Here is a 12479-nt window from a genome sequence, read left to right as displayed (position 1 = left end):
TTTCTTCCTTTTATAAATGGAAGAAGTGTCCATGTCCTACTTAAGATTCAGCCCAACACCGCTCCTCTCTGGATGTCTGGACTGAGCTTTTCTTTTTTTATCTTGAATACATTATCTGAAATTCGGACTGCTGGCTCAGAAAAATCTAAAGTCGTTTTTAAATAACTATACAATTACTTTGTCATAAAAGTCAAGTGAAAATTACCTATTTTCTTATTTTTGAGACAACTGTTCTGATTTTAAGAAACCTGTAAGTATCACAGATCTTTCAGCAGTATTATGAGTACAGGTCTTCCTATGAAGCACTAACTATATATAATCCCCCTCTTCAATAGCAGACTCTGACAGTAAAATCAATTTCAACAGAGATCAAATTAATTTCCTACCCAGAACCAGATCTATCAGAATGTGTGGTATATAATTTTGCCACTCAAAGCATAAGGGCACACTTTCTGGGAAAGATAAAAGTGAAAAAGAACTGGGAAGATGACATGTCGGCCTCCAATCCCTACCAAAAATAACCACTACCAACTGCAATGAGTTGAGATGACCATGTGATTCATCTCCCCACATGCATACAGCAGGCAATTGTGTCATAGGGGCTGGATAAGATTCTCTAAGAAAGATAATCAAAGGGCCCTGGCTCAGGAGACGATGCACTAAGCCAGTAATCATAACATATAAAGGATCCACATTAACTTCTTGGTCCCTTAATTAATGGGAAGGGTTTTATAGAAAGATCCCTATATCCCTAGTCCTCTAACACATGTTGATTATTTGACATAGATAAGTGACAATGAGAGAAGCCAGCCCACCCTGACACAGACTTGGAAGAGAGGTGTTATTGAGGCAACAGTCCTGGAAGCTGACCTCTGAGGCACAGGGTCAGAGCTGCACACACACAGGCACATATTCCACATTTATTTACCACCCAGCATCTGTTGGGCAGTAAGCTATGCTCCGGAGGATCTGATGAACAAAACAGACAGGGCCTCTGCATTTCTGTGGTTTACAGTTGAGGAGGGGAAGGCGATGGTTCTAGCATGTTTGAGTGGAGCTTTGACAGAGGCATTACAGCTGATGAGCCAGGGGCATCCTAACTAGTCTCAGCATGGTAATGAAGATTTCTAGTTGACTCTACTTTTAAGCTGAAACCCAAAGGACAAAGTGAAGTGGCCACATAAAGAACAGGAGGCACAGCATGTATACAGAGGTCATCAGATGCCAAGCCCCAGAAAGTGAAGTCCAGCAGGCAGAAACAGGAGTCATACAGTGGGGCCTCTCAGCCACAGAAACTCTTATCTGGAGTGACCAAGGCATCTCTGTAGGGTTTTCTGAAAAAATATAAACATTACAGTTACAAGACACCCAGGAGATAGTAGTCCACCTATAAAGACCAACAGAGACTTACAGGTCTTCCTATGAAGTCCTGTAAGCTCAGGACTCTATCTTTTAGGAAAAACAGAAGGCATTTAAAGTGTTGGAAGCCTGTGGAGCCTGTCACAGGTGCCGAAGAGTGGGAAGGACCTGATCCATAAACATACAAAGGGATAAAGTATAAGAAAGGCTCCCGGGGGTATTAGAAAAAGTTGCACAGGAAATCAGCTCCTGAGATGGCTGATACACCCTGCACTTCTAGGAGGAACTTCTGACCTCAGAAGCCCTCCTGCAAATGTTACCTCCCTTTCTGGAACAGGGAACACTCTTTGGCTCCAGCATTCCCTATCCAATGCAGTTTCCCAAAACTGTATGATTTCGTTTGAAGTCCTCACTTCACTTAACACGTATTTTTTCCTTCAGACACCCACACCGTCTCTGAGCCTCCCTCCCAGTGTAGCCCAAAAAATAAATCAACAGCCAAATCCCCGTGTTCTAATTGCAGTACCAAGTGCTGATACTCATTCCGGCACTAATTCGTCAATGTTGCATCTGGATTAGCTGGAGCTCTAAGGAAGAAAGGCAAAAAGTATACTGGGTTGAATAGTGTCTCCCCAGAATTCATATCCATCCAGAACCTCAGGATGTGACCTTATTTGGAAACAGGGTCTTTGCAGATGTAATTAAGATGACATCATAATGTGTTAGTGTGAGCCCTAAATCCAATGCCTGCTATCCTTATAAAAGAGAGGACATGGAGAGTCAGACACACACACAGACAGGGAAAAAGGCCACGTGGGGATGACTGCAGAGAGTGAAGTGATATGTCTACAAGCCAAGGAACGCCAAAGACTACTAGCAACCACCACAAGCTAGGAAGAGGCAAAGGATTCTCCTGTAAAGCCTTCAAAGGGAGCACGGCCCTGCTGCCACCTTAATCCAGAATTCCAGCCTCCAGAACTGTGAGACAATAAATTTCTATTGTTTTAAGCCTCCCAGCTTGTGGTACTTTGTTACAGCAGCCCAAGGAAACTACAAGGAGGATGTGGCATGCTCTCAGTGAAATTTTGCCATCACAGTCCTTACCTCCATCTGGGCTCTATGTACACAAGGGGCATTGTTTATTCTTTGGTGATGCTGAATGGATGGTGCTTATTTCACACTTCACCCAAGCCCTTTTAGCTCTAAAAACCCGGAGTCATTTCACCTTTAATCACGTCCAAAAAAAGAAGTTGCAGATTTCACTTAAATATTTTTACTTAAGAGATTACATTTCATAGAAAATCTTTATTTTTCCTTTCCTTTACAAGAGTTTTATTCTTTGCTTCTGTCTCCCAAGGAAACAAAAAAACCACAAACAGTATCTACAGTCTTCACCTCTGACACCAAAAAGTCAACGACACATACATACTTCTGTGGCTGGCAGCCTGGGGAAGGGGTGAGCAGTGGCTTCACAATTAGACTAGCCAGAGTGAATGGGGGTTTTGTATATAATACATATAACATGGGGCACCCAGCCTACTTCCGTCCATCACACACAAGTGGGCTTTGTCCTGGTAATGCAGGAATGAGCTTCATTCCCTCCCTGGCCAGGCAATGAGGACAGAGCCCTGCAATCTAATTGGCCACTGCAAAAGCTACCCATCAATTATAAAGCCCGCCCCCAACGACATTCTGTCCACTCTGTCTGATTTCCAGATGAACACTTTTCCCCATTCCTGCCTGCTCTCCTTGGGTTTCGCACCTTAAATTTCCATTCCGTGGAAGTATCCTTTCCCATCACAGGCAAAGCCATAATCTGGTAGAGCTAAGAGACTGAAAGCCCTTCCTGAGGCCATGAAGCTCTTAACAGACACAGCTAAATTTGAGCTTGTTTTACAGAGCATTCTATCTCCAAAATCTTGAATTGTTATGCATCTCCAGCTCTGTGTGTCCATACACATTCTCCCCAACTTCCACCACTTATGCTCACACTCAGCCCACTTGAAGCAACCTTTTACCCCAAGCAGCAGCAGTTTCTGCCAACAAATGATACTGCAGCAGAAACTTTGTAATTCAAGTTGCAGCTCTCCCACTTACTAAGTGTGACCTCAAGCAAGTTGTTCAACCCCAAGACTCATTTCCTCAATAATACCTATACTTGCATCTCTTAAGGTTGCTTTGAAAATTGCATAAAACAATGCATATTTATTATAGTACTTAAGCTCAATACATACTTTCTTTCTTCAATGTACCTGCCTGGTAAGTACAGGGAATGCACACTGTTAACTGAAAGATGGCTTAGGAGCCTGGCAACAGGTCAGCCTTCCTGCTGAGCTTTCCTTTCCCTTTCCTAACTGCACTCTAACTTCCTGTTCAGGGATTACCTCTCCCTCTCTATGCGGCAATAATGGGCTGATAAATCAGGGTGCTCTTCTATCCTCCCTTGTGAAGGACAAGATCCCCAGATCTTCCCTCTCACTACAGTGCCTGGTCCAGTCAGGGGGTACAAAACAGACCTCTGTTGAGCCAGCCAGTCTTCTCTCCACGTACTCTGAATTGTGAAGAGTCAAAGATGACATTAAAAATTAGAGTTCATTCACATGTGCTAGTGACAGCACCCAGGACAGACATCTAAGCAGTTCCTACAACTATGAACCTCCAGCGCTACTGGGTTCCTCCACGTCCCCTTCCATTCTAAAATTCATTTTTACCTTAAATTAGCTAGAGTCCATTTCTGTTGCTGATTACCAGGCAGCCCTAACTGACAAAGAATTTTACATAGTTACCACCCATCTCCGCCCACCTCCATTCTCCTTCTCCAAAGCCTGAGTGACTGGGATTAACATTCATATCATGTATTAAGGAACAAATGGTAAACTGGCTCTGGAAATTTGATTCCCAAAACTGAGCCATGGAGCAGCGTTATCAGCCTCACCTGGGAGCTTGTCAGACATGCAAAACCTCAGCCCCACCTTAGACCTACCAAATCAGAATTGCATTTTAGCAGGATCCCCAGGTCACACAATAGTCTGTGAAGCATTGACTCAGAGGCTAAATGTGGTTCTTGGCAAGTGCCTGATCGGCCTCACACTTAATATGAAAATGTTCTTTGTCTGTAAACTATTTTTTTTAAAGCCTACTTGACTCATAGCTCTACTCAGCAGAGGATGGGGCTTAGCTGCACAACACCGTGATGAAACACACAATGGGCCACGGCTCTATGCTCAACACCTCTCCCTACCACCCTCAGATCATGCTCTCAACTGTCTGAGCACCAGCTTCCTGTCTGTAAAATGGGCTTGTAATCCCAACCTCCTCAGATTACTGAGTATGCAAATAGTACATTTTCATCATTGCCTTTACTGTAACAGATGTTCTTTGCCCCCTAGTTATGCCCCAGCTGAAACCCTTCCTGAATAAACTAGCTAAGCACCCACTGATCTAGATCCTCCTTCTCAACATGTTCTCACAATTTATAGTACAATTCCCGCTAATTAATGTTCATCTAGGTAGGCACTCCATGAAGGCTCCAAATGACCAACATGTGGTCACACAGTTTGTAAAAGATCTATTCAGAGTGTAAGAGAGACCAAGGGATTTTAACATACCAGAGTACGAAAAGTTCATGAATACAGTTTCAGATTGTACGTTGCAACTAACCCGTAGGCATCTACCACTTGTCAAGTTTTGGTGTCATGTCACAGATAAAGCCACAATTATCTGAAAAGGCTACTAAAATCCCTTTTCCAACTACATTATCTATGCAAGGCCGGATTTCTTCATCTACTTCAACCAAAACAACATATTGCAAGAGACTGAATATAGAAGCAGATGTCTTTTATTTAAACTCCATACATTTAAAGAGTTGCCAAAATGTAAATATTGCCACTCTTCCTACTAAATGTTTTGTTTCAGAAAATAGCTATTTTTCATAAAAATGTCATTTATGTTAGCATGTAATGAGTTTATCATTTTTAAATAAATGAGTTAGTAAGTATCTTCATAAAACTTTAGTCTTCATTTCTATTACAATAAGTACCAAAGCCTGCAACCCACATAAACTTAAAGTTCTCTGGAGTCCTTAAAAATGGTTTTTAAAGTGTAAGGAAGGCCAGACACAAAAAGGGGTTGAGAATCCATCTTAAACCCACTTTTTTTGAAGACTGAAAGTATGCAAACAAACTGTAAGATGACCACTTATGTGTAGTGAGTAATTTCCATCACCAAACATTCCTCTTCTAGATATAAGAAAAACGCCCCCCAAAGTCCTCCAAAATAATTCTGAAGTTTCGTGCATGAGAGGATTGAGACCTAAACACTACAAGAAAGAACTCTCCCAAAGAGATGCTTTATAAAGGATTCAGAATTTATTCCATCTGGCACAATTCACTAAGGTATTCTTACAAGACCTTAGTTTCTGGGTGATGGGCTGTGCATCTATCTGACACTGTCCTCGCTGACATCATGGGTGCCCCACTCATGTGGAGAAAGTATGTGCCCTCCAGCTTAGTTAGGAACTCCTCCTCCTCAAAAATGATCAGGAAGTCCCAGAAATCAAAGCCATCAAATTCTAATTTGGCAAGTCTCAGCAGATAAAACAACTCCAAGAGAACCTCTGCTCAGCCTTTTTCTACAGGCCTTGGCACACACCCAAAAAATAAATTAAAGGAAACGTTGTTTAGGTATCAGGACGTACATACCGCCAAAGGAACCGGGTTAAGAGGGCATTTGTTCTGTTCAAGGCCACCACTCTCCATGAGCCTCAGGTATATGGGAACACAGCAGATGTTGTATCTACCTCCTCACTAGTCTCTACTACACCTTTAGAAAAGTGTAGTCTAAAATACATATAACTTGGTATAGGAAGACTTAGATACTCAAGTTACAGAGGTCTCGTCCACTTAATCTTTGCTTAACTATTTGCCTTAGAATAACTTAATTATGGCAGTCACTGGCAACTCACTGATTAGGACTGTGGAATGTCAGATCCCTTCTATTTTGCTTCCACCATCATCAATAGTTCTGAAATTGAAGATTCTGGCTGCCCAAGGCAGATTCATGTCCCAAAGAGGCCCTTCACATTCCCCACTCTTGAAGAAGCCAGGGCCCTTTTCCCCATTACAGTGCCTGCATGTGCCCTTGGCCACCTCAATGATAACAGGTCACAGTGAAGCTCCACCTTGTAGGGTCCTAGACCTCTCTCCTTGACAATGGACTTTCAGAGTCTCTGAAAGAGGGTCCTTCTCTGACTTCGCCAAACCCTCTTAAGTGGCCACTAAGGCCTGTAGCTACTCAACTTCTCACACTTCATCTCCTCCAGCCGACAGCACCTCGGAAGGTCCAACTGCCAGGCCTTTTTTCTCAGATGTGCTTATCACTCACAGAAGTGAATCTGGGTTTCTTTGTCTTTCTGGGCCGAGTTCAGTTACTAGAGGTTGGAGGTGGTCAGAACTGAGAGGAGAAGAGTTTCACTCAGAGTAGCCCAAGCACAGCCATAATTCCCAGGTCTAAATCTCTGTGGTCAAATCCTCCACACCACAAAGCCCAGCCTCGGAGATATTCCAGGTTCTGTTGACTCAAAGGCCTGTCAGTTCAGGCACCAATGCATTCTGCTGTAGTCACTGGAGTACATGCACTTCTGAAAAGTAGAATGACCTCTAAAAGTGGGCTCCTCAAAAGAACATCAGTCTCTGCCCCATTGGCTGTCATTCATGCAGCATCCTGGAAACACGCCCTGACAGGAATCCAAACGCTCCCTTACCTGTGGCTCAAGTAGCAGCCAGCATTTCCCGAACATGCTGTTAATAACTACAGCCTCTGTGATACTAGGAACAACTTCCCCAAGGGTTCTGAAGTCAGCTTTTGAGTTTGGTCAAAAGAAGTTCTGACTCTGAGCAGGATTCTCCAACTAAATTTAGGATATCAGCCCGGTTATACTCCTCTCCTTTCCAGAATGAGGGCAAACTTAAAAATCTGCTCCAGACTGAAAAGAGAGGATTTTACATCACTTCTGATGCCCTCCTGTGCACAGCCCTGCCACCAGCTGGCTAGAAAAGCCTGTGACTCAGCTTGACTCCTGAGCACTAGGAGAGAAACTGACAACAGTCCTTCCAGACACTCCTAGGACCTCGTCTCCACCCTCAGACCACTTTCCTACTTGGTCCCCAGGTGTTTGGGCCCCTCGCCTCCTTCTCCCCTTTCCTTACTGCCCCGCATACTTCCTTATACCCTACACACCAAAGTTCTATGTTCCCTGATTTCTCTCACAACAGACAAAGTTCAATGGCTTAACGATTTGGGCTCTGGGTTTTAATGAGCTATAGGGAAGATATGCTTCATTTTGTCCTGCGGAAATTCGTCTTTGCATGACTTAGCCTAATGACTCCTAATGGAGAAAAGATAAAAGACAAAAGAAGCTGTGTCTGATTTTTCTTTAACAAGAAATTACCACAAAGACTATGAAATTAGGTCCAGAGAAGGGCAACAAAAGTTATCAAGGGAATGATGCCAAGTTTTCTGCTGAGTCTGAGAAGAAAGTCTGAGAAGGATAAGTGCATGTGTTATCAGGGTGATCAAGGATGACACAGGCATCCATTCTGTAGCTTTCCTTCAGCCAAGTCCTCTCACAAAATGACCTCTGGAATGACATCACTGGGTATAGGCCTCTGCTCTGCCACCTGCTATGTGACTGTGGCTGATCTGATCGAGCTGCAAATGTATGGATAATAATGTCTACAATACTTTGCTGCGGTAATTAAAGATAATAAACATGAAAGTACCTATCAGAGTGCCCACAGCATAGCTGAGGCTAAATGAATGTTAGTTTCCTTATTTCCTTTATTTTAATTAGTGCATGACACATTCATTCATTTGCCAAGAATGTCATTTCACAGGCAGAGGCTTCCAAACACCTGATGATGTAATCTCCCTGTAATTAGGGTTCTTCCTCCATTCAAGGTGAAACCCTGCCTTTATACCTATGTGTCTGCTGCTCCCTGTTCCCACCCATAACTTTTCCCTTCTTGACTATCTAGTCACAGGATTGCTTTTTAAAAAATATTACTTTAGTGAGATTTTCCCCTGGTTTGCACCCCACTACTTTTTTTTCCTGCTGTTCAACCCCATATACAGAAACACCTGAGTAATGGGACACAATGATTAGCTTCAGTGATAGCCCCTACGTGAACCCCACATACAAGGCCTAAGTTTATCTTATCTAACTAGTAAATGTGTAACATACACATGCACTAAGAATCATAATAATTTGGTGGGTAGAACACTGGACTTGCAGCCCAAAAGGCCTAAGTTCAAAATCTTCACCTAATACTAAATAGCTGTCTGACTGTAGTCACTGATTCTCACCAGCCTCAGTTTACTCGGCTATGAAACAGAAGTTCCACTGTGAGTCATGGAGATGCTCACTCTCACCCTCTACTCATGCCTCCTCAGGAACAAGGAACACCGATGAGGTAACAGAAAAAAATACGATTTCCTCAGGATACAATTAGGATACCTAGAGAGAGTCAACGCACAGAAAGAACAACAGAACATAAGAAAACCCACTTTCCTGCACTCTGCCTCTTCCTTATCCTTCCCTTTGGCTGACTACTGGATTTGTCTCCCTCAAGGGACCAGTCTTTCACAACTGGCCAGGGGATTCTTTCTGATCTGAGGTCAGGCAGGAACTAGCTGGGGGAGGGAACACAAAAGGAAGCACAGAGGTTTAGTTCAGGTTAGCTCTAGTGCTCATTTACTAAACTTGTTTCCTCCTTCCACTGTGGTAGTAAGACCTAAAGAGACAAAATTCATGCTCAGGCCCAGAAGAAAAGAAGAACAGACCGGAAAGCTCAAGCCACCCTCAGGAAGAGGTATAAGGAACACCTGAAGGTCACAGGGGCCCCAGCCTAGCCAACTAAAAGAAGGAAGACAGGTTGGGCCCTGGAGAACAGGTAAAATGAAAAGTGGGTAATTAGCAAGACTGCCCTCAATGATGCTGGCAGTAGGAGTAGCAACAGTAGTTAGGGGGTCAAAAGTTATGGATTTGTGATTCTGACATTTGTATGCATTTTTAAAAATTGTGGTAAAAAAACACATAACATAAAATCTACCATCTTAACCATTTTAAGTGCACAGTTCAGTAGTGTTACATATATACACACTGTTGTGAAACAGATCTCCAGAGCTTTTTCATCTTGCAACACAAACTCTGTCCCCATTCAATAACAACTCCCCTTTTACCTCTCCCCCAGCCCCAGTAACCACCATTCTACTTTCTTGACTCCATGAATGTGACTATTCTTAAGTACATCAAGAGTCTGGCTATTTTTATACCTGGGTCACAATTCGTAACATGTATTGTCTGGCAAACCAAAGCAAGCAAGGGAGAGAGATTTTTGAGTAGGCTCATTCAGGAAGCACAAAGTGCAAGAGCAGGTGACCTCTTACAGCCAAAAATCAACAGAGATGATGAGAATCCTAAGAATAGAATTCAGTATCTGCATGGATGGACAGAAATTTATTGCCACTATACTCTCAGAGAGGGCCAGGGAATGGTCACAACAAATTATGCAGAACTCTGGCCTTCAGGCTTTTGATCTTGTAGGACTGGCACTGGAGGTTGATCCAGTACTGTTCTGAAAATGTATGTTATTAATGGCTAATAGCAAATCTGGCCAGTGGGCTCAGCAAACACCCCTAACTTCTAGGTACCCTAGATGGACATGTACACAGGACTGAACTGAAAATACAGAACACTTCATTATTAGCTGGGCCTGTGAATCCAATTTCCAATGCAGCATTCCATAAGGTAGGCTGGATCACATGGAGAACTCCTTTTCCCTACATTAGTGGCAATCTTAAACTGGGACCAAAGCGCATACGGGAATGAAAAGGAATTCATAAAATATTAGACATGACTCTTTGGTCTTACCACTCACGATAAAGACTGGCCGAGGTTACCCAAATCAGCACAGGAGATAATGCAGCCAGAAAGAGAGAGAGAAGAGAGAACATTTGCCCTTGTGCCAGGGTCCACTTGCCCCCACTTCTAAATAGGTCAGTCACCTGGAAACCAATCCAGCACATGGGAAAAGAGAGAAAAGGAAGAGAGGTGGTCAAGACCTTTCCGTTCAGGGGCAGCCCCAGCCTTACCACTCTAGCCACATACAGCCAGGAAAAAGAAAAGACATCACACATCTACATAGGCTTAGCCTTCTAACAACGCACAGTCACTAGACCCACTAGGACAGAGGCCAACACAATATCCTTTACCTCCCACAGCCAATCCTCCTTGTTGCATGGGAAAGTGAAGTCTGGGAAGGCAGAAGCCCAGGGCCTGAGAAACCAGCCTCTGGCAGCAGGGGAAATGACAAGAAGCTCATGCCCCCAGAAGCCAGCAGCTATCAAGACAAGGGCTTTCCTTTCTCTTCCTGCCCAGCTATGCATGGAAATAACATACAATTTCATGATGTCTGTGAATCACAGAGATCTAGACTGTATGCTCAACTGGAGTATTCTGGATTTCAGCAATGACCAAATAAAGATAAACAAATACCTGTCCTATATATGTTGCCTTCTTGAGTTGAGCCAAAGAAGGGAAAAAAAAATCTTTAAAAAAGAACAAATCCAAAGAGAAAACAAAGTAAAAAAATAGTTGTGCTGGGAACACAATGACACTCAGAATCAAGTCTGCACAGATCAATGTGAAACCATAATCCTCAGGTAAGAAGATTTTCAGGAACTCATATTTAAGGAAAAAGCTATTATTCAGACGTTGGGGAAAAAAAAAACACCAGAAATTTACAAAGCAACCGAGCTTTTAAAAAGTTTTGATAGCTCGGTGAGGATAGGAACAACAGAAGAAAAAGACAAAGGGTGGCATGAGATCTAGAATCCATGTAAGGCCTCCAAGATGGCAGAAGAAAATGGGACAACTGAAACAAAGTTTTAATAACCAATGGTTCACATGGAAAGAAGAAAATGAAGATCCCAGGGAACAAAAAGAGTTGGACAAAAATGTTTCTGACATCTTTAGAGTAAGGAAGGTGGTCCAAGATCTGGGGAATCCAATGCCAGATAAAGGCGAGAGGTCAGGAAGAGCGTGCACGGAGAGCTGCTTCCTCACTGAGCCCAAAGGGCACATGCTCAGAAAAAATTCTAGAGACAGCTTTGGCTTAAAATACTCAAGGGGGATTCTCCATCTAGGACAAATGGTGAAACAAGGGGAAAACTTACCACAGTGACAGGATCAAAACCCCCAAGACATTCCAGAAGAACAGGCAGAGGCAGGGCCCACAGTGGCTGAAGGACTACAAAGGCCTTAGGATCCTGCTGGATGGGAGAAATGCAAAGAGAAAAATGGGTTTATTTATAGAGAATTTAGGATCACAAAATGTTTTCATGAACTAGCTACTATAAACGTGGGGTCCCAGCTCAGAAGATAGGACAGACCTATTTACATCTGGGATTTATATAAATATATGGGATTCAAGGCATGGAGGTCCAAAGAAGGGATGAGCAAATCTGAGAAACCACAGAAAGGAAAATCCAGGCACTCTGCACAACTTCCCTCCAAGATATAGGTATCCCATTATCACAATTAGCCTCGTGATGGGAACCAGATCCAAAATGAGTTTAAGGTTCATAGGTATAAGATAACTGACTCAGACTGGCTAAAATGCCAGGGAATAAACAATCAATAGTGTTTTTTCACGGATTTTCCAGTCTCTCAGGGTACTGAAGAAGCACAAACTGGAGTCAGACTGGGTGAGTTCATGTCCTGGCCCTACTGCATACCTGCTGTGTAACCTTCACCTAGGAGGTTAAGAATGAGTTAATGGAGATAATAAAGGCAGCTGATCTGATAAGGTAATTTAAGGATTAAATCAATTAATCCATGAGAAGTACTTAAAACACTGCCTGGCAAATTTCAAGGGCTCAACAAAGCTATCATTATCATTATTTTATTTATTCCATCTACTACCTCCCCGCCTCTGCTATATTCTATAATTGTTCAGAGAAGTTTAGGTATAGATCTCAAGATCTAGCTTTAAGTTTGGGGAACTTCACTTTCCCCTGGGAGTTATGATATATTAAGGAACTTAGGTTCACACTGCTGCCGT

The 12479-nt window shown here is 42.9% G+C and overlaps 2 protein-coding genes across 4 annotated transcripts in view, besides 1 other annotated feature; both read right to left on the bottom strand.

Annotated features, from left to right (window-relative positions):
• The window catches only part of ZNF664-RFLNA (ZNF664-RFLNA readthrough), a 342810-nt gene that overhangs the window by 316294 nt on the left and 14037 nt on the right, over positions 1-12479 (bottom strand). The gene's annotated exons all lie outside the window — the stretch shown is intronic.
• ZNF664 (zinc finger protein 664) overlaps positions 1-12479 on the bottom strand; it is a 42213-nt gene that overhangs the window by 15697 nt on the left and 14037 nt on the right. The window contains exon 3 of one of the 2 annotated variants that reach the window (NM_152437.3): positions 11593-11688. The gene's annotated coding sequence lies outside the window, so the exon portion shown is untranslated. The remainder of the gene's footprint in view (positions 1-11592; positions 11689-12479) is intronic. The other variant, NM_001204298.2, reaches the window with a different exon arrangement.
• Positions 4341-4440: a silencer, noted in NCBI's record as "silent region_5056". NCBI's record gives its function as "represses an Ori minimal core promoter by ATAC-STARR-seq in GM12878 lymphoblastoid cells {active_cell/tissue: GM12878}" and the evidence as "EXISTENCE:reporter gene assay evidence [ECO:0000049][PMID:35858748]".

This window comes from Homo sapiens, chromosome 12 (genome assembly GCF_000001405.40).
Source record: "Homo sapiens chromosome 12, GRCh38.p14 Primary Assembly".
Lineage (NCBI taxonomy): Eukaryota > Metazoa > Chordata > Mammalia > Primates > Hominidae > Homo > Homo sapiens.
Note: the sequence above shows the minus strand (reverse complement) of the source record. Positions and strands in the feature narration are given on the sequence as shown.